Consider the following 27217-nt stretch of genomic DNA (forward strand, 5'->3'; position numbering starts at 1 on the left):
AATCTGAAATAAAATCCAAGCAGCTGGATTGAGATTTGGAAGTATATATATGGACAAACAGGTGGTGCTCAGCTCGAGGGTGGCCTGCATCCCCTTTATGAGAAAGAGGCCCTGTGAAGGTAGATGTGAACTGTCTTTAGCTTAGCCTGTGGCAGGAGGCAAGCTCTCGTTAGGAGTACCTGAAAAAACACATTTCCACAATAAGACAACTGGTTGTTCAAGACACTGCCACCACACAGCTTTACTCTGTCTGGCTTTTACTTTATAGGTCTATCATTAGGGCATCTATATTTTATTTCTGTAAAAACTGATAACGAAGTCAGAAAGAGCCTTTTGTGGCATCACTATTTGTAAATTATACGGGCATAAAAGAGCATCACAAAGACTAGAACTCATATTTTGCATTCTCCAATAAGCATACTATCAATTAAAAGCTCAAGGTCAAGAAGCTTAGCCAAGTTTCCATCCAGATGGAATTTATAATAAATGTTATAAAGCACTGAAAACAGGGGATTCCAGCCAAAGCAAAGACATGTCATAAAAGGTACACACCTCCCTAATGTGGTAATAGCACCACAAGCATGGGTCTTAGTTTGCCACAAATCTGCTTTTTCATTCTGTTTTTCAGCAAACATGTATTCAGTGCCTACTATGTGCTGAAGAATGCATAGAAGCTGTAGTCATGAGAAGGTCCCCGAGAAAATGAGAAGAAATATATATACACAAACTCAGACCCAGATGTACATGGACACACACACCATGTGCAGCTAGTAGCGCAAAATCAGTCAGACTAAGGCAGAGTAATTGGTGATTGCTTCTTCAAGCCTGTGTTATGGGTTGAATGTGTTCCTTCAAAATTCACATGTTTAAGTTCGGACCCCAGTACTTCAGAATGTGCCTTATTTGGTAATAGGTTTTCAGTAGACGTAATTAGTTAGGTTAAGATGAGATTATACTGGGGTGGGGTAGGCCCCTAATCCAATATGGCTATTGTCCTTATAGCACAGGAAAATTTGGACACAGACACACATACAGCAAAAACACCACTTGCAGATAACAATCATGCTGCCACAAGCCAAGAAACTACCAGAAGCTAGGAGAGAGACCTGAAGCAAGTCTCTATCTCCTACTCCAGAGTGATTGTTTGATTGGAGCGTGGGATGGAATTTATACCTTCAGAGAAAGGATGGCTCTGTGAACACCTTGATCTTAGACTCCTGACCTCCAGAACTACGAGACACTATATTGCTGTTGTTTAAGCAATTCAGTTTGTGGAACTTTTTTACAGCAGCCCCAGGAAACTAATACAACTTAGTTGATGGTTGATTAGATGACTGATGATTAAATGACGTAGTGTATATGAAAAAGCTTTTTGAACTTCAAAGTTTAAAAGCACAAAAATGTACATCATCCATAGAGGCCTTTTGCACAGCCCAAATTATATTGTGTTCCCAAGCAAGTCTGAGCCCCAGGCTTTAGATTTCAAGAGCAAAGCATGGAATCTGGATCTGTACCATACAATACAGGAGCCACTTGCCACGTGGGAGCACCCAAAATGTGCCTAGTTCAAAGTGAGATGCACCGTGTCAAACACACACCAGATTCCAAAGACTTCCTCTGAAAAAAATGTTAAATTGTTCATTAATATTTTTTATACCAACTACATGCTGAAATGATAAAATTTTAGATGTATTGAGTTAAATAAAATATGCTATTAAAAATAATTATTTCACCTGCTTTTTTATTTTCACCTTTTTAATGTGGCTACTAGAAAATTTACAATTACATATGTGGCACATATTCTATTTGTATTATACAGCACAACTCTAAAGGTAAAATGTGTCCCTACATTTTCCTGAAATCACATAGATACTATTTTCCATCTGGTTATGTGTCAATTATAGCAGAAGGTCTTCCTTCAGATCACCAAATCAGAGCACTTTGCAGTTAAGTGCAAGGAGGTTTGCCTGCCAGTGGTTTCATCAGCTGCTCCCACCTCACCAGGGAAGGTTTTAAAAGTTCAGACCTTTGATCTCCTTCCTCTGCTTGTCTTCATTCCACCGCCTAAGAACTCCAACTCATCCAGTTGGTGGCGAGATCTCAGATTTTAATTCACAATTAGGTTAGAAAGCCAGTGTCCTTTGCTCTTCAATGAGGAGGTAGTTTTTGAGAAATGACTTCCCCTTGGCCAAACAGAAAAGTCTAAACATTCTACTTTCGAAATTATACAGACTACCATTAAATTTACAGCCTGTCACTTACTATCCCTGGGACTTTTCACAGATACTTAGGGCTAAGCATTAGCCGGGTGATAGAGATACAGATAATTACGAAATAGATTCTGCCATTAGGGGACTGAGAAGCAATTTGGGAAACTAGCATTTACCTCCAGGGTTACAATGATCATTGAATGACAGCTCATATGAAAAGTGCAGTGTTCTCTATGGACATAATACCTATTAGCAGGATTATCACCTCAAATTAAAAAGCCTTAGTATTATGTGTGACACAAAGAAGTTTTTTTGTAATACAGTCCCGCCCCATTTTTATTACCTCACAGTTCACTACACTTTTCAATGCCCTGAAACGTCTCCCAAAATATTCACTTTAGATATATGAAAATTAAAATCCAGGAAGATATATGACACAACAACTCCCATCCCCCAATTACACAATCACTCTGAAGCAGCAAATGAAGATAGCAGACCACTTTGTGGGGCTATCCCCAGTCTTAAGGAACTTATCCATAATAAGCAGGATTGTGTCAACTGAAACTATGGGGACAAGCTCCGACCCTAGGTGATACACTGCCATGAAGTAGACAGGATGCCCCATCAAGCAGGGATCAACACAGGACAAAAGTATAATCCTCGCATTTAGGATGCATGGCAAATTCAGGACCTGCCAGACACTGAAAAGCAAAGAATTAAGGAGACATTCCTGATATATTTCCAGACATATTCTACGGGCATCTCCTTGCACAAGGCTTCCAAGGTATACACTCTTCTTACCTTTCCAGGATGAAGAACAGGATTTAAGAAATAGAGAAAAGAAAGCTAAGTTAACAGTAGCTTAATTCCTTGAAGAAACCAATATTAACATCACAAATATGTTTCATTTAAGTCTTTTTCTCTGCTTATGTTTTTAAAGTTGGTATAACACTTTATAAGTAGTTTTGTATTTTGTCTTTTCAAATATATAATGTGAATTAGCCCATGTTAGAAAATATTCTTTCAAGTATCACTTTTAATATAAAAACAACATAGCATTATATATATGTATGTATACATTTCATGATTTGTTTTGTATTCTTTATAGTAATTATTTTGTGATAATGAAAATACATGATATAGTATACAAATGCCAGACATGAATATCTTTGGTCATCAATCTTTGTTTCAGATGCTAAAAACATCCTTAGATTGCATCAATTAGCATAAACAATTCAAAGACATGTACTGCATGTCGTCAAACTGCTTACAAGAAAGTCTGGACCATTGCAATTATACTAAGAGAGCAGGAAATACACATTTTAGCGACGCCTTGTTGAGTAAAAAATTATTGGATTTTAAATTTGCTAATTACATATACAAAATAATAAGATCCCACTTCTATTGATATGCTTGCTTTGATACCAAGTAAAAAACAATTTTTAAAATATTTATTAGTTCTCTTTTCCTCCCATTCACAATTGCTTCAAAGAGAATAAAATACCTAGGAATCCAACTTACAAGAGACGTGAAGGACCTCTTCAAGAACTACAAACCACTGCTCAATGAAATAAAAGAGGATACAAACAAATGGAAGAACATTCCATGCTCATGGGTAGGAAGAATCAATATCGTGAAAATGGCCATACTCCCCAAGGTAATTTATAGATTCAATGCCATCCCCATCAAGCTACCAATGACTTTCTTCACAGAATTGGAAAAAACTAAAGTTCATATGGAACCAAAAAATAGCCTGCATCGCCAAGTCAATCCTAAGCCAAAAGAACAAAGCTGGAGGCATCACGCTACCTGACTTCAAACTATACTACAAGGCTACAGTAACCAAAACACCATGGTACTGGTACCAAAACAGAGATATAGATCAATGGAACAGAACAGAGCCCTCAGAAATAATGCCACATATCTACAACTATCTGATCTTTGACAAACATGTGAAAAACAAGCAATGGGGAAAAGATTCCCTATTTAATAAATGGTGCTGGGAAAACTGGCTAGCCATATGTACAAAGCTGAAACTGGATCCCTTCCTTACACCTTATACAAAAATCAATTCAAGATGGATTAAAGACTTAAACATTAGACCTAAAACCATAAAAACCTAGAAGAAAACCTAAGCATTACCATTCAGGACACAGGCACGGGCAAGGACTTCATGTCTAAAACACCAAAAGCAATGGCAACAAAAGCCAAAATTGACAAATGGGATCGAATTAAACTAAAGAGCTTCTGCACAGCAAAAGAAACTACCATCAGAGTGAACAGGCAACCTACAAAATGGGAGAAAATTTTCGCAACCTACTCATCTGACAAAGGGCTAATATCCAGAATCTACAATGAACTCCAACAAATTTACAAGAAAAAAACAAACAACCCCATCAAAAAGTGGGTGAAGGACATGAACAGACACTTCTCAAAAGAAGACATTTATGCAGCCAAAAAACACATGAAAAAATGCTCACCATCACTGGCCATCAGAGAAATGCAAATCAAAACCACTATGAGATATCATCTCACACCAGTTAGAATGGCAATCATTAAAAAGTCAGGAAACAACAGGTGCTGGAGAGGATGTGGAGAAATAGGAACACTTTTACACTGTTGGTGGGACTGTAAACTAGTTCAACCATTGTGGAAGTCAGTGTGGCGATTCCTCAGGGATCTAGAACTGGAAATACCATTTGACCCAGCCATCCCATTGCTGGGTATATACCCAAAGGATTATAAATCATGCTGCTATAAAGACACATGCACACGTATGTTTATTGCGGCACTATTCACAATAGCAAAGACTTGGAACCAACCCAAATGTCCAACAATGATAGACTGGATTAAGAAAATGTGGCACATATACACCATGGAATACTATGCAGCCATAAAAATGATGAGTTCATGTCCTTTGTAGGGACATGGATGAAGTTGGAAATCATCATTCTCAGTAAACTATCGCAAGAACAAAAAACCAAACACCGCATATTCTCACTTATAGATGGGAATTGAACAATGAGAACACATGGGCACAGGAAGGGGAACATGACACTCTGGGGACTGTTGTGGGGTGGGGGGAGGGGGGAGGGATAGCACTGGGAGATATACCTAATGCTAGATGACGAGTTAGTGGGTGCAGCGCACCAGCATGTCATATGTATACATATGTAACCTGCACATTGTGCACATGTACCCTAAAACTTAAAGTATAATAATAACAATAATAATAATAAATATATATATTTATTAGTTCTTTGACTTTCTTTGAGAAATGGCGATTCATACCCTTTGCCCACTTTATTACTATATTAGTGGCTCTCTACCACTACTTACAATACGTATGAGTTCTGTATACACTAAGAATAGCAACACTTCATTCCAGTACTTCTTCAGAATATTTTGTGAATACTTTCCTTGGGTTTTCTTTATTTTTAATTTTTCTTTGAATGTTTCGTTGTTACATTTTTTAATGTAATCAAAGTCATTATTTATTGACTTTGCAACTGTCTTCACTGTTTTTATGTATACCTAGAAAGTCTCTTTCCTGCAAGGTCCAAATAAATATAGAAAATATTTTTCTCTTTTTGAAGAATAGTTTTATTTTTTAATACTTCTTTTAATTAATATAGTTAGAAATCATTTTACTGAATAATTAACTATGTCAAGAAATTATTTCTGATATCAAAACATTTATAGATTATGTTGAGATAAAAAATGTCATAAATGACCGTATATAAGAGATTTCATCAACTAGTTTTTCTTGTAGTGAAATTCTATGTTGTCTTAATAATCTTGTTCTTGGATAATATGTAAATCAGAAAAATGCTTATAAACTAGTATTAATTGTAAACAGCAACTAAAACAATTTTTATAATTTAATCTCTATAAATGTAACTGCATTTAAAGTTCTCACTGTATAAGCTGCTATAATATAAAAATAAATATAGATAGATTCTAAAATGTTAAAATTGGTTGTTTCTGGATTGTAAGGTTACTATTGATTTTTATTTTATACTCCAGTATTTTCCGATTTTCCTACAATAGGCATTTATGACTTTTAAGAATAAAAAGTAAAGGAATATTGTTTGAATTGAAAATACAGTATTGCTTTTTCCATTAACGCTTTAATAATAATAAACTTTTTCATAGGCAGTTCTTTTTTTCAAAGTGCTTTGTAGTTGTTTTCATTTCTTATTCCTTTCATGGATAAAAGGGAAAAAAAGTGGAAAATAGTTCCCTTGAGGCATGTTTCTAGGTCTGAGATTATTCAGACTCATTGGCTGCCACCTCTTTCTACATTAGTCTCCCGTTCGTGTTGTGCTTTTTGACTTCCTGTGAATACACCACACCTTTACACTGAATTCATGTCTTGGCATATGATGATCTCTTGCTTCCTTCCCCTTCCCCATCAGTTTCTGACTGCTGACAATATTCCATCTCAAGATGTTTTTCTTGGCCTTCCTGTCCACACCCCCTCTGCCTTCTCTCTTATGCTTCCTCGCACCTTGCAACATCAAGATCTGTCTCCCCTTCTGAGCCACGAACTTTCTGTTGGAAGCACTGTGTCTTATTCATCCTTTGAATAACGTGATTCTTACTCATTTGTAAGACCCAATACAATGAGCATATAGCTTCTTTACTTGGCTGCATTACATGGACATTTCAGTAAACCCTAAAAACAAAAACCTGTATACTTTCAGCATTAAAATTATATATACAGCAACCTTATTTCCTCAAATGTTAAACATAGAGTTCACATATGATCTACAAATTTGACTCTTAGGTATATTCCCAATATAAAAACTATCTTTACAAAAACTTGCATATAAATTTTAGTTAGCAGCATTACTCATTATTATTCATATTCATAATAGACAAACACTAGAAACAAATCATCCACTAACCAAGTAATGGATAAACGAATGTCATATACTCAAAAAATGGAATATTATTTGCTAATAAAAAGAAATAACATACTGATACATGCAACAACATAGAAAAACTTCAAAAACATTCTGCTAGGTGAAAAAAAAGCCAGTTGAAAAAGAACACATTATATAGTATGTCCAGAATAGGGAAACCTATGGAGACAGAAAGGAGATTACTGGCTAGCGAGGGATAGGGGTGTGTGTGTGTGTATGTGTGTGTGTGTGTAGGGTGGGAGGGATAGGGGAGTGACTATTAATGGGTATGATTTTTTTTTGGAGTGATAAAAATGTTCTAAAATTATGGTAAAAGACTATGGTGTTGGTTTTACACCTTTATAAATATATTAAATACAACTGAATTGAACACTTTAAATGGGTGAACTTCATGATAGGTAAATTATTTCTCAAAAAACTGTGTACATACACATATAGACATATATACAGAGAGAGAGAGAGAGAGAGAGAGCTTGAAACACAAAAATCCTTACTCTTTTTTTTCTGAGATGGAGTCTCACTCTGTCACCCAGGCTGGAGTGCAGTGGTGCGATCTCGGCTGAGTGCAAGCTTGGCCTCCCAGGTTCATGCCATCCTCCTGCCTCAGCCTCCTGAGTAGCTGGGACTACAGGCGCCTGCTACCTTGCCCGGCTAATTTTTTTGTATTTTTAGTAGAGAAGGGGTTTCACCATGTTAGCCAGGAAGGTCTCGATCTCCTGACCTCGTGATCTGCCCACCTCTGCCTTCCAAAGTGCTGGGATTACAGGCGTGAGCCACAAAAATCCTTACTCTTTGTGGGACTGGCAGCCCATCCTCAAACTCTACCCCATAACCTTGCCACTATCCACCACTGAAGGAGGAATGTGAAGATATGGTCATGGATAGACTCAGGAAATATGAGATTTAGCAACATCTATTGTAACTACTCTTGGTAATATTTTAATAATATGTTTACATTTTGAAGCATCAGGCTGGCCAATCAAATAGTCACAAGGTCAAAACAACCCCATTAATTCAACTATATCAAAGTGGCTGTATAGAAATGTGCTACTTTTCCACCACTTCCTAGCCCCCCAGGGATTAGTGGTCGAAGGTTTACTTCTCTGACCTTCCATAGATCCCTGTTTATGACCCTTTTATGTTGTGGTATTATTGGATTATGTGTATATTTCTCCTAAAAGGTTAGGCTAGCTAAACTATGAACCCACAGGCTGTATGGATTCATTATGGAACTCTGTCTTCTAAATACAACCTGGAAAATGATAATGTTTTATGTTTACTGAATAGAAGTTTAAAAAAAAAAGCCAAAAAATAAGAGATGGCATCACTGCTAACTTTAAAAGTGTATGCTTTCTACCTCTATTCCCAGGAAGATGTTAAGCAATTTATTTGATGTCCTTCAAAAACTATCTTTATAATGAAACAAGAGAAACCATGATTAACTATCAAATTCAACTTGCTGCACAGCATAACAAAACTACAGTGGAATAAAGAATACGGAGAATTTTGAGTCATGTGAGTAGCAGAAAACCAAATATCCTTGGTGATTTAATTTTACCTGAATAAAACAGGGGCTAGGCAAGTTGACCTCAAAAATCTTTTTTCCTAGGTCTTGTACAATTGAAATTTAAGAGCAAGGTTGCTTCTGTACCCCTATACAGACTTGGCGCTGTGCCTCCACACTAGCTGCCAGAAAGATGACAAATGACAATCAAAGAAATCACCAGGAGACAATGGCCTCTATAAGGCCCACATGCTTATTTGTTCTGAATTAAAATGCTCAAACTTCAGATTCACTCTCATCCTCTGTATTTATGGTTCCTTCTGCCTTGAAGCAAGCATAGTGAGTGCCATGATAAATTGTTGAATGTCTGTCTCATTTCCAGGCAGACCCTGTAAATTTCTGAGCTGTGCTTTGCAACCCTTCATTCTGATTTGTAGCATTCAACCACACTGTCAATGACACACAAAGGGTCTGCAAGGCCCTTTTCCTTTGGCTGAACAGTGGTCATGAGGTCCTGGCCTTTCATTATCCCCAGAATGTCACAAAACTGTGCTTAATCAGAGCATCCAGCCCTTTTCAATGAGGATGATGTGCTTGTCTTCCCAGTCAAGACTTTTGTCTAAGATGTGGCAGGTGCTGAGAGGGGCACAACCTTGTCAGGATGTGTGATTTTGGAATAGACATAGTAGGGAGGGTAAAGTCCTAAACGGAAGGTTCTCCCTGTACTTAGGATGAAACCCCAAAATATCAATCCTCTGGGACAAGTATTCTTTTCTTAAACACATATTTATAACATGCCCAGCACTCTTGTAGAAGCTGGGGAGATAGGAGAAAACAAAGCAGGGCAAGTCCTTGATCTCTTGGGGCTTAGATTATGTTCCTTTCACTGAATGAACAAAGGGGTGAATGAGTGAATGTACATGATCTTTGTCTTCACAAGAGGTTGCTAATCCCATTGCCATCTAAATCATATCTGGCCCTCTAAGCCAGGCTTACAGCACAACCTGGGCAACTAGTGAAAGTAACCTAAAGGATAAAACAGTTTTTCAAGGTTATTTTTCCATACCTTTTCATACATGAAATATTAATACCTGGCCCCTAAATTCTGGTTTTCTTTGCCAACTTCAAGATTTTTCCCTGAACCTGTATGATTCTGTTCAATCTCTCAACCTCCAGCTTGGTGGGCCTTAACGTTCATACATAATTTTCAGTTTCATATCCTCCTTCCATATTTGTGTTCTTTCAAAATTAAGTATACATCAATAGTCCAGCTCAAGGTAGCACAGAAATTCACCTACTCAGAGGACAGATTCAGATCGCTATGAAATAACTGTCTCCACGGAATCTAGAAAACAAAACGGAGTGGGAAATTAAGACTTCATCTTTTCCCATTTGCCAGATAAAGGTGCACTTTGATGCTAGACATTTACTTACAAAGACTGGACAATAAAACTGAGACCCAATTAAAGCCTGGGGTGAAAGAAGGCAGAAAAGCTGAATTTGTATCTGAGGGGTCTCTGTCTCATCAGTGTTGACGGATAATAAAGGGAGCCTAACATCCAGGGCGGCTGGAAGACTGAGCTTTCCTCAATCCCCACAACAAAGCAGAGGCTAGAACTGTAACAGAGAATCAAACCAGAAGGCAAATACTCCAAAGCACGTTCTGAATAAGAAACACAATCGTCGGCATAGGTACATTAAAATATGAAGGACTAGGCAGTGAAAAAAGAATAGAGACGAAGAGAGGAAGGAAAGACTCAACACTTCATAGTCTCACAGTAGGTGCTGAGCACTTTCACATAAAACAGTTCATTTAATATCCACAATTTTTGTGAAACAGATATTATTAAAACTCATTTTGAGAAAGGACAACAAATTGCTGAAAATCTGAGAAGTGAAGCAGCCTACATAAATCAGATAGATGATAACCAGAGAGCCAGGAATAGAACCCTCGTCTCTCTGATACCAGGAGATTCATGGTTCACCTTCATCAGCTTTATCATCATAGCAGAACAATGTGGAAGTTTACATAAAAAGTCTTCCATTTTTTTAACTTCTATTTTAGGTTCAAGGATATATGTGAAGGTGTGTTACATAGGTAAACTCATGTCACAGGGGTTTGTTGTACAGATTAGTTCATCCCCCAGAAATTAAGCCTAGTACCCAATAGTTATTTTTTCTGCTCCTCTCTCTCCTCCCACCCTCCAATAAACCTCAATGTCTATTATTTCCTTCTTCATGTTCACAAGTTCTCATCATTTACCTCCTGCTTATAAGTGAGAACATGTGGTATTTGGTTTTCTCTTCCTGCGTTAACTTGCTGAGGATAATAGCCTCCAGCTCCATCCATATTCCCACAAAAGACATGATCTTAAAAACCTTCCATTTTACTTGACTGGACTTAATGTTCTCATTTTTTTTCCTGATTTGATGGGACACTAAATGATTTGATCTATTACTAGAGAATAAGGAAAAGAGAGCATAAATTGCTATTTAATGTTCATAATTACATACCTATATCAGAATCAGCTTTTGAAAACATTGTAAAATAAATAGTATATTGTTTCCAGAGTTTATCTCCACTGTATTAAGAAGCATTGTAAGAACAGCACCGGGCTCCAGAGATTCGGGGTGACTTGGAAGATGACAGTGCAAGCGAAGTGTGTATTTTCAGCCTTTAACTGGCCTGATACCCTAAGCCTAAAGAGAATTCCTCATATTAAGATATCATAAATATTGTTTCCTACATGTTATTTACTTTAATCTTCCTAACCTCTAATGGTTCTGGTATCACTGCTATTGCCCTTTTATAATAATACTGAGAAAGTTGAAGCTCAGGATAGTTAAAACGTTATCCAAATTCTCTTCTAACACTGAACTTGCTTGTGCTAGTTTATTGCCAAGTCAAATGAGACATGACTCACTGCTCACTAGAGGTGTACTACGAGACTTCATTTGAACTATGAATATGAGTGGGAACCTGTGCAGTGTGTGTGTGTGTGTGTGTGTGTGTGTGTGTTTCCCAGCAGGTGACTTATTTATTAATACTACCAGCATATTCACACCCTGGATCCACCTACTCTTAGGCCAAACTCTGCTTCAGCACTGTGGTAGACTGTTACTCAAACCAAAGCTCCAATGGTCCTTTAGCTACATCTTGATAACAGACAAAGGATAAATGCACACATGAGTACCTGAGATCTTCAGTGCCACTGCTTTAGAACTGGTAAAATATGTTCTTTGAGCCTATAATATTGATACATTTGTATTTTTCTTTTATTTTTCTTGGCCCTGACTTTTTTCTCCTTCTACTTTATGAGTTCATTCAGTTATTTATTTAGTATATATATATGTACATGATTGGAAGAGCATAAGGAAACAAGGGTGTAAATTATAATTTTTGCATATATACATGTACATTTATGTATATGTATATGTGTACGTGAATACAGTTGGCCCTTGAACAACATGGAGTACTGTTGACTGGAAGCCTTACTAATAACATAAATAGTTGATTAATATATTTTATATGTTATATGTATTATATACTGTGTTTCTACAATAAAGCAAGCTAGACAAAAGAAAATGTAACTATGAAAACCATAAGAAGAAAAAATATATTTACTATTAATTAAGTGGGTCATAATAATGGTCTTCATCCTAGCCGTCTTCACTTTGAGTAGGCTGAGAGGAGGAAGAAGAATGGTTGGTCTTGCTATCTCAGCGATGGTAGGGGCACAAGAAAATTGACATGTAAGTGGACCTGCACAGCTCAAACTTGTGTTGTTTAAGGGTCAGCTGTATATCACACTACTATATGCCAGACACTATTCCAGGCACTTGGAGTACGGTAGTGAACAAAACAGACATAATTTTCTGCCCCTGTGGAGCTTACTTTTTTTGCAGAGGGCATTAGAAAATAAATAATAAAAATGATAAATTATAGGATATGTTAGGAATTGAAAAGTGTTATGGAATATAGGGCAGCATGGGGCTGAAGAGATATGAGTGGGGGTGCAAGCTTCACTTTTAATTAGGGTGGCTGGGTAGGCCTCTTTGACAGGATGAGATCTGAGCGAATACTCTAAGGAAGAGAGAGAAAACTATTTGGATTTGGAGGAGACTTCCAGGAAGAGTGAACAGTCAGTGCAAAGAACGTAAGGTACGAGCATGCTTGACATATTCGATAAGTAGCATGGAAGCACGTGTATGTGGCTGAAGAGAGTCAGAAGGAGAGAATAATGATAAGTTCAGTGAAGTCTGAGGGTTGCAAGTCTACAGCGTTATTGTAAAGACTTTGTCACATACTCTGAGTAAGACAGAAAAATGTCAGGAGAATTTGAGCAGGGAATAACTTTATTTGACTGACTTTTTACAAAATTCACTCCAGTTGCTATGTTTAGAATAGATCTTGTGTTGGAAAGGTTGGAGGCATGAAACCAATTTACACACTAACTGCAGAAATTCAGGCCAACGATAATGTTGGCTTGGGTCAGAGTGATAGCAGAGGAGGTGCTAATAAGTTGTCAGATGCTGAATACATTCTGAATGTAAATCCAGTAAGATTCCTTGACACTTTGGATGTGGGGTGTAAATGAAAGATAGCAGTCAAGGAAGATTCTAGGTTTTCGCCTGAGAAACTTGAAAGAAAATGTTACCACGAATTGAGATGGAGAAGGCTGCAGGTGAAGCAGATGTGAAGGTGAGACCGGGAGCAGAATTCAAAGTTCTGCTTACGTATGTCACGTTTGAGATCTCTATCTTTTCTGAGTGGAAAGGTCACGTAGGCACTTGGATATACACATTTAGACTTCCATAGAAAGTCTAGATGAGGTAAAGGCTGAGGTATAGATTGGGATCTATCAGAATACAGATGTTATGTAAGCAATATGAGTTAAAGTCACCAAAAGAGAGTGTCGAATTAAAAAGAAGAAAGCCATTACAACATTTAGAATTTAGGTAAAGGAGGAAGAAATGTAGGCAAAGAAGAAAGAACAACGAAATAGTATGCTGTATCACAGAAGTCAAGCAAGAGTACTTTTTATAAATGGAGATCTTGAATTTTATTATAAATTACCTTAAAGTTGAGGAATTTGAGGAAGCCATTGCATTTTGGCAACACGGGGTTCATTGATAACATTAAAACAGCAGATTTAGTGGAGGTATATGAATATGAACCAGAGAGGAGAGAAAGAAAGAAAGTATGATGAGGAAGCAGCACCTTGAATGGGCAATTCTTTGCGTGTAAGATAGGCTAAAGGTAAAGATTGTAAACTGTGAAGTCAGAGTATTTTCCTAAACTTAAATCATGGCTCTACTTATGTATTAGCCTTTGAATGTTGCAGCATTATTTCACTTTGCTAAGCCTCAGTTTTCTCTTCTGGAAAATACAGTTATGAATAGCACCTATTTCACAGGTGTTTTGTGAAAACTAAATGAAGTAATATATGGGAATCCCTTAGCAAAGTACCTTGTATCTAGTAGGATTTGAATAAATGTTAGCTATTATTATTTCTATTAATAAGGTTTTGAGACATTTTTCTATGAAGAGCAGAACAGAAGCAGGAGTTTTACAACCTTATGCATAGTTTTAAACATAATTCTAATTATCTTGTCATATATGTCATATGCCATATGTATATACACACACACGAGTGTACAAAGATAATGCCTCAAATATGTTACTTGAAGTTGGAATAAAAATAGTCATGGTGCACATATTTAGTAAACTGTTGCAATTGGTTTCCATTATAAGATTTAAATATAACATAATTTTGATGTCCCTGAAAGCCTCATTAAGCAGGATTCAACTGTGTAAGCATTTAGATCAAAGAGTATAGTTCTTTTGAGAGAACTTTTAGAAGTATAGAGCTTTAGAACTCTATAAGCTACTCAACTATCAGATGATTCAAGTTGTCATTGAACCATTACTTTTTAAAGTAAGTATATGCTGTGGTTGCCTGGAAACCACAATCTATCTTTGAGTTCATGAAGTTTCTGATCCAGAATTCTATATATGGGTCAAATATCATGTATTTCAACAGGATGAGAAAATCTAAAATTTCGGTAAGTGCAATCAAAGACAATGCCACAGAACTGACCCCCAGAGCTGCCAAGCAATTCAGAAGACTGGATCATGATTCAGGAGCTAAACCACCTCATTGCCAATAAGAAAACAAAACCAAACACCAAAAAAGTGACAAAAATGTAAGCATTTCCAAAGCTGATCTTTAAAATAAAGTTTAAAACATCTATGTTTACTTATATCAAAGCCAGAGTTCACAACATTCTATTCCCCTGTTTCAGCCCCAAACATCTTACAGGCTCTTTTGGTGCCATGTTTTACTGGAGTCATTTATTCAGCGACTACCAAAGATACTTAGGAGGTAAAGTTGTTCAGATTTTGCATATTGGAGGTGAGAGAAAGGAGGATCGACTGATGGAATTCACTAAGAAAGGAGATGCAGGAGATTGACCAAAGTTGGGACATGAGATCTTGAGTTCAGTTTTGAACATGTTGATTTTGAGATTCTTGTTAAATTTCTAAGTGAAGATGTCATGAAAATATTTGGGTATATGAGTTAGTGGTTCAGAGCAAAAAAATCTTAGTCTAGTGATAAAAACTTGGAAATAACACCATATAAGTTACCAATTGAAACCTTTAATCTTGGGGAAAGGAAGTAGACTGACAAGAAAATAGACCCTAAAACTAACCCTGAATAACTCTAATCTTCAAAACTCCTATCTGCTGGTTTAAGTTTCTGGGGAGGATCCACAGTAATTTAAGAAAGACTAAAAAGTAGTTATTCGAGTTAAGAGAAACAAATTTAAATAAATGGATCATATTCAATTTATGAAAGTCTATGAGTGGTTAAGTAAGATGAGAACTAAAATATATCTACTAGCATCAAGGCACAGAGGTCACTGATGTCCTTAGTAAGTAAAAAATTGGTGAAGTGCAGGCATATATTTGTTTCAATAAAATACAAGCTATTTAAGTGTGAGAGGAAACAGAAAACGCATTCCTCTGTATTTTAAGACATCTGTGAATAGAAGGAGAGAGATAGAACTGCAGCTAAAGTAAGGAGTGGAGTCTAGAGATATTTGCTTTGATTTGGTTTTATGTTGCAATCTGACATGATGTGGCAAAATGAAAATAAAAGAAACAGAAGGGATAATATAGGTATGTTTCCTGAGAAGAAAGAGAGTAAGACTCAGAACAAAGGTGCATAATGAACTAGCCACAGGCAGAAGGATGGATATTTCCTGAGAGAGAGAGAGGCTGAGAGAGACACACATAGAAAGAGAGAGAGAGAGAGAGAGAGAGAGAGAGAGAGAGAGAGAGAGAGAGAAACTGGTGCAGATGACCAGTAGAGGTTGGTTTACAGATTGATGGCTTACATTAATGAGGGTCCCATTTAAAGATCTCCCACCTCAAGCCTCCATCTGAGAATTAAGGTGAACACAGGAGAATCAAGATTTTGAGAAATATGAAGACTTCAAATAATCTTAGGAGAGATCATTGAGTAGAGAAAAATGGTCATTAATGTAGTGGTACCAACTGATTTTCTTCAATTGCATAGAAAAAGGAAGATAGCTAGAAAATTGTGTTTTATTTAGAGCAGATGAGTTCACAAGAATCAGAAGGAAAGACCAGAGTATAAGCCTTGAGAACATTGGAACAAGAAAGTATTTATGGGGAAAAACAGATTTAAATAATGTATCACAGACAGGAGAATAATATTCATAACTTATTCATTACTGTATCTCCAGCAAGGTGGGTGTGATCATTTTGTAAAAATTCATCTTGTAATATGATGATAAAATGTGCCTTTTTTCTATGTACATGCTATATTTCAATAAAACAGTTTTACAAATAAAAACAATACAAAAGTATCAGTGAATTATAAGTCCCCAGTTGTATTCAGTATACTCTAGCCAGAATGTACTTTTTTAAACATCTGCTGCTATACAAGGGAAGAGTGTACTGAACCTGCAGTTTAATTGTTTGATTTTTCAAGACATGGACATAGCACACCGAGTCATTTAAAATGTATTGGGATAACGCTGTTATGATCCTTTTTTATATCTGAAGGATCAATATTAATATACCTCTTTTTTCCTGATACTGATCGTTTTCTTTTTCTTGTTATTTCTTGATTACTTTTGGCAGGGGTTTGTCATTTTAATGGCTTTTTTCACTTAAAAAAAAGAACTATTGATTTTGTTCATTCTCTCTACCACAAGTTGTTTTCTACATCATTAATTTCTGTTCTTATCTCCTTTACTTTCTTCCTTCTATATCATTTGAATTTAATTTGCTGCTCTTTAACTTCTTGATATCAATACACAAAACAGTGTTTCTAAGTCTCTCTTTTCCAATATACATTTAGGGTTAAGGTTTTCTTCTTTTTATTGTGGTAAAATTAACATAAGTAAAAGCTACATATATTAAATGGACATTATGATGGAGTATTGGCAGATATATTTACCCATAGAGCCACCATAAAAATCAAAATATAGAACATTTTTTCTATCATTCCAGAAAGTTTCCCCCATGATCTTTTCTTGTATTTCTTTACATGAATAGAACCATAAAGGTATTATTTGTATCTGTCTTATTTCTTTTAACATATTACAATTTAGTATCTTTAAAATGTTTTCTTCTTAGTATTGAGATAAATTTTGCAACCAGTGAAATGCACAGATCTTAAATGTATAATTTCAATAAATTTTGTCAAATGTGTAACCAGTCTTCTCAATCGAGACATAGAATAATCTGTCACCCCAGGAAGATCCCTAATGTAACATTAGGCAACTACTTCTCTCAATTACATTATGCAGATTACTTTTGCCTCTTCTTTAGCTTCATATAAATGGAATTGTACAGTATGTATTTTTTAGTGTATAGCCTCTTTCACTTGGCATAATATTTTGTAGATTCATCAATGTTATAGCATGTATCAAGGGTGTAATCTTTCATAGTGCTAAGAAGTATTCCAAGTACCAATATATCATAATTTCTTTGTGCAAAAATTGTTTATGCAAAATGTTTATGCAAAATTATGTTTATTATTTAGCTACCATTAATGGACATTAGGATTTTCTCTTTAGTAGTTGATCATTATGAATAAAGTTACTTTAAACTTTTTTATGTAAGTCTGTTTGTGGATATAGGTCTTCATTTCTCTTGAATAAATTTCTAGAATTACTAGGTAAACAGATAGATGTAGATTTACTCTTATAAAAAACACATAGTTTTTTAAAGTGATTGGATCACTTTACTGACCTAAATCAGTGACATGTGTGGGTGTTCAATTTATTCCACATATTATTCAACACTGGGGATTGTCAGCTTATTAAATTTTAGAAATTATAGTGGTAGGAAGTATTATCTTACAGTGGTTTTAATTTGGATTTTTCCGTAACTAACAGTATTGATCCCTTTTAATGTGATTTGGGGCATTTATTCATATTTTATGAAAGCTTATGTTCACGTCCACTGCAATTTTTTGCATGTTTTCAAATTATTGATTCGTAGACATTCTTTATATATTTTGGATAAAAAGTCATTCTCCAAATGCTTTCTATGCCTCCATTAATAAGATAATGTTGTTTTTCTTCATTATGTTAATATGGGTATAAAGGATAAAGTGAGTTTACAGCTGGATTAGGATAATATAATTACATGCATAGATGCTTGGAAGTTTGGCACTGACTCTTGACTAAGATATAGACAGTGTGATAAACAATGTTTATCGTGTGATGTTTAATATTTGAAACTCCCCTGGCAGCATACATGAATGATTTATACTTGGCATAATCATATAGATAGTCTTCTTTGGCCATATAGCCAGAGGGGCACCAAAACTGCTGGAAAATTTAGGGAACTCTCCTGAAGCAAAGTGTTACTGCTCAATTTTTAGTGGTTGAATCCAGAGGTGAAGGACAACCCTGTGCAAATAAGAAAGACCCTAGGGAGCTGTGCCTGGAAATCTCTTGCTTGTCTGCCCAGTCTTTCTCTTGTTCTTCCCTTCTGCCCACTTTTTCTCCTCTTTATTCGGCTGTACCCTAATTTTTGCTTTATATAGATATGTTCTATGGATTTGTAGGTCTTTTCAATTATCCATTACTGTTGTAATCTTTGCAAAGAGGAAATACATTTATTGATGGGCAACCACTAAATTGAACTTCCTGGGATTAGCATACCTAATAGACTGTGCCTTCTTTTTGTTTTCAGAATTTGGCTATTTCATCTAAATTTTTAGGATCTTAACATAAAATTGTTTGTGGGAGTCACTTATTGTACTTGTAATATCTGTAGGATCTCTAATGGTAGCCCCTTTTTTCATTTCTGATATTGATAATTCTGTCTTTGTCTCTTTCTCTTCCTCTCTCTTCTATCTCTCTCTTTCTATTGCTCTCTGTGTATGTCTAAGTGTGTGTGTGTGTGTGTGTGTGTGTGTGTGTGTGCGCAGACATGCATGTCTCTCTCTTTTGATTAGTCTTGCTAGGGTTATATCAATTGCATTAATTTTTCTAGAGACCAGCTTGGACTTTCTTAATTTTCTCTATTGTCATGAATTTTCTATTTTATCTTTTTGCTTTCATCTTATTTACTTCATTTTCTGTATTTTACGTTTAAGTTGCCCATTTTTTTCTATATTCTTAAGGGGAAACTTAGTTCGCTAATTTTAAACAGTTCTATTTTTCCAAGATAATCATTTTAGTCTGTGAATTTTCTTCTAAACATTGTTTTATTCATATCCACCAATTTTTAAATATTGTGTCGTTATTTTTAGTGAGTTCAAAATATGTCTTAATTTTCTTATATTTCTTTTCTGATACACATGTTATTTAGAAGGGTAATAATATGACAAAATATGTAATTTTTCTGGGTTTCTTACTTTTTTAAAAGTTTTATTATATTAGAATAAGAAAAGAAATCATAGGATTTTGAATTCTAAAAATTATTGAGATGAATTCAGTCATCATTATATCACTTTCTTTGTGCAGGTTCCATGTGTATTTGAAAGGGATGTTGCTGTTCATATTCTTTTACAGATTTTATATATTCCTAATGTTTTTTATTTAATATTTAAATCAGTGTTAAAAGAGGAGAGTTAATATCAACAACAATAAGTATAGACTTATCTCTCTTCTCTTTTGCTATTTTTGCTTCAGGCATTTAAAGTTTGCCTCTTCTTTTTTTTTTTTTTTTTAAGAGAAAATTCTCACTCTGTCACCGAGGCTGGAGTTCAGTGGTGCAATCATAGCTCACTGTAGCCTCAAAATCCTGGGTTCAAGTGATCCTTCCACCTCAACCTCCCAAAGTGCTGGGATTACAGGTGTGAGCCACTGTGCTTAGACTGAAGCTTGCCTCTTTTATTATTGTGTAGTATCTTTTTAAAGTTTGAAAGTACTTCTTTTTTGAAGTTTATTTCATTTAATATTAATCTAGCCACTCAAATTTTATTATGCATACATTTTTATAGTGCATCTTTTTCCTCTTTTACTTTGAACTTTTCTGGCCTGTATCATTAAACCATATCTCCTCTCCTCTGTTGAGAATATGTTGTTGAAGGACTTTGCTTTTTTTTTAATCTTATCTGAAAAATTCTCTCTATTTGCCTTTTTAGTACATTTACACTTAATATAATTATATATATGTTTAGTCTAGGTCCATAATTTTGCTACTTGTTTGCTTAATACTTTTGTAGGTAAGGTCTCTGGTGTTTATGTGAAACCATTTGACCCCTGCCACTCTGAGTTACCATCATCCTCATTGAATTCAGGAAGCCAAATTCAATAGCAACATCTCCCACTGTCATTTTTGGCTTAGGTAATAGCCACTATAGACCCACAAAAATTAAGCAAAAGAATGACAGTACTCACCTCACTAATGTACTTTTAAAGTCTTGATGAAAAAAGTGTCTCCTACACCATCGTGTGAGACACAGGGAGTAAATGAGCAGGTCTAACATAATATTTCAGTCTAGCATTTCAACTTCCTTTAAATTGGATACTTGTCTGTACTAGACTAAGCAAATTTTCGTATTTTCTCTTCAATAATTGTAGGCCACTTTTAAGTTCATGTTTCAGCCAACTAACAAAGCATACTTTTAAAGCCAATATCAATTTATACAATCAATTAAGAATCTCTGCTTAGAGTACCCAAGTCAACAAATTCATCCCATGATAACTACATTTCTTCTACCTTTACTCTATGTCCTTAGAATTGTTTTCCAGACACCTTCTTTAGATTTGTATAAATATAAATTAGATAAATTTTGCGAAACATTGGGCAGAGGAAATTATGGCATGCACTTATGAGTCACACTTTGTTCTTGACTCTCAGGATCTGTTTGGAATTAAACCTGTTTATAAATCTAAGAGCAAGACCTCTGGTAGAAGTCTTTGGCGTAGGTGTTAAGAAATATCACTAGTTTCCTTTAAGACAAACTTAGAAGAGACCATTTGCTTTCTTGTCAAAGGAGTGTTGATGGGGTGAGGGGCTGCTGTTTCTATTGGCAAAGACAGCTCAGCAATATTTGGAAGATCAAAGTTCTTAGCATAAAAATCTGCCCAGAAGCTGGGTGCAGATGTTCACACCTGTAATCCCAGCACTTTGAAAGGCTGAGGCAGGAAGATTGCTTGAGACCAGGAGTTTGAAACCAGCCTGGGTGACAAAGAGAGACCCTGATTCTACATAAAATAAAATTACCTGGGTGTGGAGGTACACACCTGTAGTTTCAGATATTTAGGAGGCTAAGGTGGGAGGATCGCTTAAGCCCAGGAAGTTGAGGCTGCAGTGAGCTGTGATGGCACACTGCACTCTAGCCTGGGTGACAGAGCCCCAATACTTTATAATCAATGCCCTAACTTTACCAAAAGAGACCTTCAAAGATTGTGAATTCATTTACATTGCAATCCACCCACCCACAGGTTTAACCTTTGTGTGTGCTTTTTAGAAACTGCAATCCTGTTGCTAATAGAGATAGGACATTTTTTTTTTTTCTGGTTTGCTGCCTAGAACTTGAGTTAAAAAGTCTTGAGCTCAAAATTTTCTTTCAGCACATTTTTCAGTAATGTAGAGGCAAACAAACAATCCACAGTTCCAATACTCCATTTCCATAAAATGTCCTATGGCATTAAATATTTGGCCATTCAAAGCTTTATTGACACTTAATTCCTGGTGACCACAGATGACAGTTTAAATAAGTGCTTGCCATAGCATGGCATGGGCTGCCAATGCATTTACTACCAGCATCAGGGTTATTAATGCCTCTAGATCTAGTCAGAAAAGAGAACCAATCCAGATTTGTATCTCTAAGATGTTGATGAAAAAACTCAAACATTGTAAAACATTTCAAGAGGCTTTCTGAGCCAAATGTGAGGACCACGACCTGTGTGTGACACAGCCTCAGGAGGTCCTAAGAGCATGTGCTCAAGATGGTTTGTTTACAGCTTGATTTTATACATTTTAGGGAGACTGAAGTTACAGGAAAAGACATAAATCAATACATGTAAGGTATACGTTGGTTCAGCCCAGAAACACAGGATATCTCAAAATAGGAGCTTCCAGGTTATATGTGGATGCAAAAATTTCCTGACTGACAATTGGTTGAAAGAATTAAGCTTTGCCAAAAAAGTTAAAGTCAGCAGAAAGAAATGCTTGGGATTAAGATAAGGGGGGTTGTGGTAGCCAAGATTCTTGTTACACAGATGAAGCCTCCAGGTAGCAGGCTTCAGAGAGAATAGATTGTAAATGTCACTTACCAGAGCTTAAAAGGTATCAGACTCTTAGTTAAATCTTTCCTGCATCAGGAAACGATCTGGAAAGAGAAAGGGGTTCTCTATAGAATATAAATTTTCCCCACAAGAGATGGCTTTGCAAGATTATTCTAAAATATGTCAAATAAATATATTTTGGGGTAAAATACTTTGATTTCCTTTAGGGCATGTTACCTGTCATGTGATGTTATTCCAGAGTTAGGTTGGAATTGGTATCTTATTGCTACAAAGAGTCTGTTCTCTCAGTCTTAGGATCAATGTTAATGCTGGTCAGTTTTATCTAAAAAACAAAAAGGAGAGGGTATAATGAAACTTGTCTCAGGCCATCTTCCCATCATGGTCTGAATTAATTTTTCAGGTTTCTTTGGAATCCTGAAAGAAATCCCCCCGTTGGCTGAGGGGGAGGGGTACATTCTGTCAGTTGGGGGGCTTAGAATTTTATTTTTGGTTTACAAAGGTTCTGTCTCTCTCAAACGCCTTCTGCTACTAATAAATGAATCAAGTAGAGATCAGAGAATCAAAGCCACTATAAGTGCTATGGGATAAGAGAACTATCATAGGAATTAGATCTTACAAAATTTTGAGAGGAGGTGGGGCAATGATAGTCTAGAAGGCAGAGTTGAGGGATCAGAGGAATAAGACATGAATCAGTCCTCCTGAAGCATTGATGTGAGGAGGTAAGTTAGAGCCTGAGAGAATCAAAGAAGCCACATGTGACCAGCTGCCAGTGGGGGATGATGAGGGGATGATGCGTAGGTGATGATGGGAAGTGAGTTCCTATGTAACTATTGCCTGTATGCATCTGCAACTAGGCATCTGGTAATAGACTGGGACCATCTGCTGGTGGGCCTTTGTGCCTGCTTGACTTATAGCTTATGGAGAAACTGAACCTGTGTGACCATTGAAGCTAGATCACAAATTCAATACAGCTCCTGCCTGGCTCTCAGAACGCTTGCCCTTAGAATCCAGCCACTATGCTATGAAGTCCAGACCATATGGAGACCAACTAAAGTCCCTGGCCCTCCAGCACAGCAGGGATCCCAGTCAATAGCCAGCACCAACTCACCAGTCATGTGCATGAGCCATCCTGGAAGCAGATCCTCTAGCTTCAGTCAAACCTTCCCCACTGACATTAAGTGGAGAAGCAATGAGCTTTCCCCACCAAGCCATACCCAAGTTGCCAATTTGTGAACAAAATAAATGTTCATTGTTGTTGTAAGCCAAGGATTAACAAACTTTCCCTGCAAAGGCCAAATAGCAAATTTTCCAAGCTTTGCAGGCCACATGCTGGCTCTGTTGTATTTTTTTTTTTTTACAAAAGTTCAAGAATAGTAAAAAAACAACAAAATATTCCTAGCATATTGACACACAAAAACAGGATGTAGGCTGGATTTGGGCCATGAGCAATAGTTTACTACATCCTATTTCAGGCCACTAAGTTTTACAGTGATCTGTTACATAGCACTAAACTATCAGAGCAATCAGTTAAATAAATTGCACAAAGCTGAATTTGGAAAATTAGGAGAAAAATGAGAATCAAGGAATCACATATGTCTGTCTGTGTGTGTATGCATGTGTTTATTTGTATACATTCATACACAAAGTACATTTCATAAGAATTCTTATAATAGCTTTATTGGCTTAAACATAGAAGATCAGATACCAAACATAAATGGAACAGCAATATATAAAAGCCCCCATTACATATATCTTATTAAAGAGAAGGGAACAAATATGTATTAAAAACCTCCCATTTTCCAGGATCTCTGTGGTACCATGGAATGCATTATTTTATTTCTCTTCAAATAGTCTTATGAAGGAGGTATTGTTATCCCTGTTTTACTAATAATGAAACTCATTTGGACAAGTCAAATAATTTTCTCAAGGTCCCATGATTATTCCTTGATTAGTAATAAGCAGAGCTTGAATTCAAACTTAGTTCTATCTACCAAATTCTAAAGTCTGTCTATGTCTTTAAGGATTAGCTGAAGTGGATCTTAAATAAAATCACTTCAGCTAAAGTATCTTTCTCACTTTGCCTGTTAGTTATACGGAGGAAGGAAGTGAGACACTGAGAGTTCCTTAGAATCAGAGCATGATATAACTGGCATTAAGGCTTAATTCCTTCTGCACATAACTATCTTATGTCTATATTTGGCTAATTTTCAGCTGTACTGTATTTAATACATACATTTATATGTAATACATTTTTATGTAATAAGGGATCTAAAAGTTTAGATACTACTGTTAGATTTCATTCATGAGCCAATTTGTCTTCAGAATGTATGGACAAAATAAAAAAAATTTCAGCAAATAAATAAGATATACAATAGTCTCGAGCCAATTTGTCTTCAGAATGTATGGACAAAATAAAAAAATTTCAGCAAATAAATAAGATATACAATAGTCTCCCTTATTCATAGTTTTATTTTCCACAGTTTTAGTTACTGGTGGTCAACAAAGAATGGAAAATATTACATCACTACCATTGAACTTTGGGGCCATTATTAGGTAAAATACGTGTTACTTGAACAAGCACTGTGATACTGCCACCATTGATCTGATAACTGAGACGGTTACTAAGTGACTAACAGCAATCCAGGCAGGACAGACAGGATGGTGTTGGTGTCATATTTCATTATGCTACTCAGAAGGGTGCACAATTTAAAACTTATAAATTCTCTATTTCCAGAATTCTTTTATTTACATCATAATACCTACATCATTCACCTCCCTTCATCTCATCACATAGGCATTATATCATCTCACATCATTACAAGAAGAAGGATAAGTACTGTGTAATCAGATAATTTCAGAGAGACACAGACCACATGCTCATTTTATTACAGCATATTGTTATAGTTGTTCCGTTTTATTAACAGATACTGTTAATCTCTTAATGTGCCTAATTAATAAATTAAACTTCATCATAAGTATGTATGTATAAAACAAAAGTATAACATATATATGGCTTGGTGCTATCTGTGATTTCAGGCATCAACTGGGACTTTGGAACACATCCCCTAGGATCAGAAGACTTCCGTATCTGTGTGTATTCTTGTTGAGTGACAGAAAAAAAGAGTTGTTTCATATGCATTAACTTGGAAGCATAGAAGACACCCTAAAAGATAATGTTGTTTTGAGCTGGCATAGTCTGCAGGAATCAGTGTTCTTTTTGGGCTATATTTTTGTGATACATTTAACTCATGCTAAGCACCATAAAATTTTATGGCCCAGAGACTGACAGCCAATTCCTCTTGGGAATGTATCCATCCACCCTCTATGGCTGATTCTTTCTGATCTCTAAGCCTGCTCTGAGGCACTCACTCAGGAAAACTTTTATCAAGTGTTCATAAAAACCTGAGATCGACCTCTCGCTGCAGATTAGAATATCATCAGAAGATTTCTGTAAGCCATGGAAGGCTTTTCTCTTCCTCAGCGGAGAGAAGATGAATGGTTTTACAAATCCCTGAGGAGACTCTGTGGAGCTATAGACAAAGATGGAAGATCTTCCCATTGAAGCCACAGGGCTCCATCTTAGCTCTGGCATTATAACGCAAAGTCTGGAAAGAACAAAGTCAAGAAGCATGCGTTTAGTACAGTATCCCTTTATTTGGTAGGCCAGTGTGCTGGAATTTTCATCAATACCCAATTGTCTTCTCCTGGCCACATACCGGGTGATAGGATGATAGAAAACAAACAAAATGAAGCAAAGTCACATAAGTACTTCTGGCCAATGAAATGTGAGCCTAGGCAGGTACTAGCTGGTGTATTTTTTTTCATGTTCCTTTTCTCTGCGGCAGGGATTGCAGAAGCTTGTGTTTAGACGGAGACGCTGCAAGATCAAAGCATCTTGAAATGTATGTACCATGTGAAAGACAGAAACTCTGGAATGCCTCTCAGACCTGCAGCAGAGTTTGAGTACAAGGGAAGAAAGCTGTTATTGCATCAAGCCACCCAAATATGTGGTTTTGTTCCTGTAGCATAATCTATCCTGATTAATATATGTAGCAACTTCATGGTGCTATATTTATCAAGATTCTCCTGCTTCTAATGAATCTATCCAACGGATCTGCTTTTTACAGTTGGTACTTCAGAATCGTGGAGCAAAAATAGATAATTTCATTGTAAACCCCATCAGCCTCATCATCTTCATGGATCTTTGTAAATACCATTTGTTTACCAGGTAGAGACCAATTATCAGCTAAAACGGAGGACCAACCTGTTCAATTTCCAAAGGTATAAGCAATATTGTTTGTTAAATATCCCTTTCTTAATCAATTTTGGAAAGGCTTACCTTATCATGTATCAAGAATTTTGGTTTTTTTTAAATCAATTCTCAGTTTTCTACCACTGTTTTATACATTTCAGATTCAGTAACATCGGCCTCCTTCAATTGTCACTATTATTGATAAAATACCCTTCTTTATCTCTCATTACTTTTGTCCCAAATTAATTTTAGAATTATTTAATTCAAAACTATATTGGGATTTAAGTTGCAGTTGTGCTAATTTTATAAGGTAAATTAGAAATATTAAACATTTATATAATATTTAGCTGAAATATTCAAGTATGTGGTTTGTCTCCATCAATTCTGCCTCTTTATTTATCCCAATAAAATGTTATAGTTCCATTTACAAAGATCTAGTGTACCTCATATTAGGTTTAGCCCTAATTATTTTAGATAATTTAATTTTATTATAAATGGAATCTTCATTATTGTTGTTGCTGGTTTAATGGGATGCTTTTATCTTTGTTATATCTATTTTATTTTGGCTCCT

At 36.0% G+C, this 27217-nt stretch overlaps 1 long non-coding RNA gene across 2 annotated transcripts in view; it reads left to right on the plus strand.

Annotated features, from left to right (window-relative positions):
• LOC105378396 (uncharacterized) overlaps positions 1-27068 on the plus strand; it is a 66197-nt gene extending 39129 nt beyond the window's left edge. Inside the window, exons 3-4 of one of the 2 annotated variants that reach the window (NR_172928.1) lie at positions 8508-8653; positions 25431-27068. This is a non-coding gene — a long non-coding RNA (uncharacterized LOC105378396). Of the gene's footprint in view, positions 1-8507; positions 8654-8747; positions 8929-25430 lie in introns of those variants that run through there. The other variant, NR_172929.1, reaches the window with a different exon arrangement.
• The last annotated feature ends 149 nt before the right edge of the window (positions 27069-27217 follow it).

This window comes from Homo sapiens, chromosome 10 (genome assembly GCF_000001405.40).
Source record: "Homo sapiens chromosome 10, GRCh38.p14 Primary Assembly".
Taxonomy (NCBI): domain Eukaryota; kingdom Metazoa; phylum Chordata; class Mammalia; order Primates; family Hominidae; genus Homo; species Homo sapiens.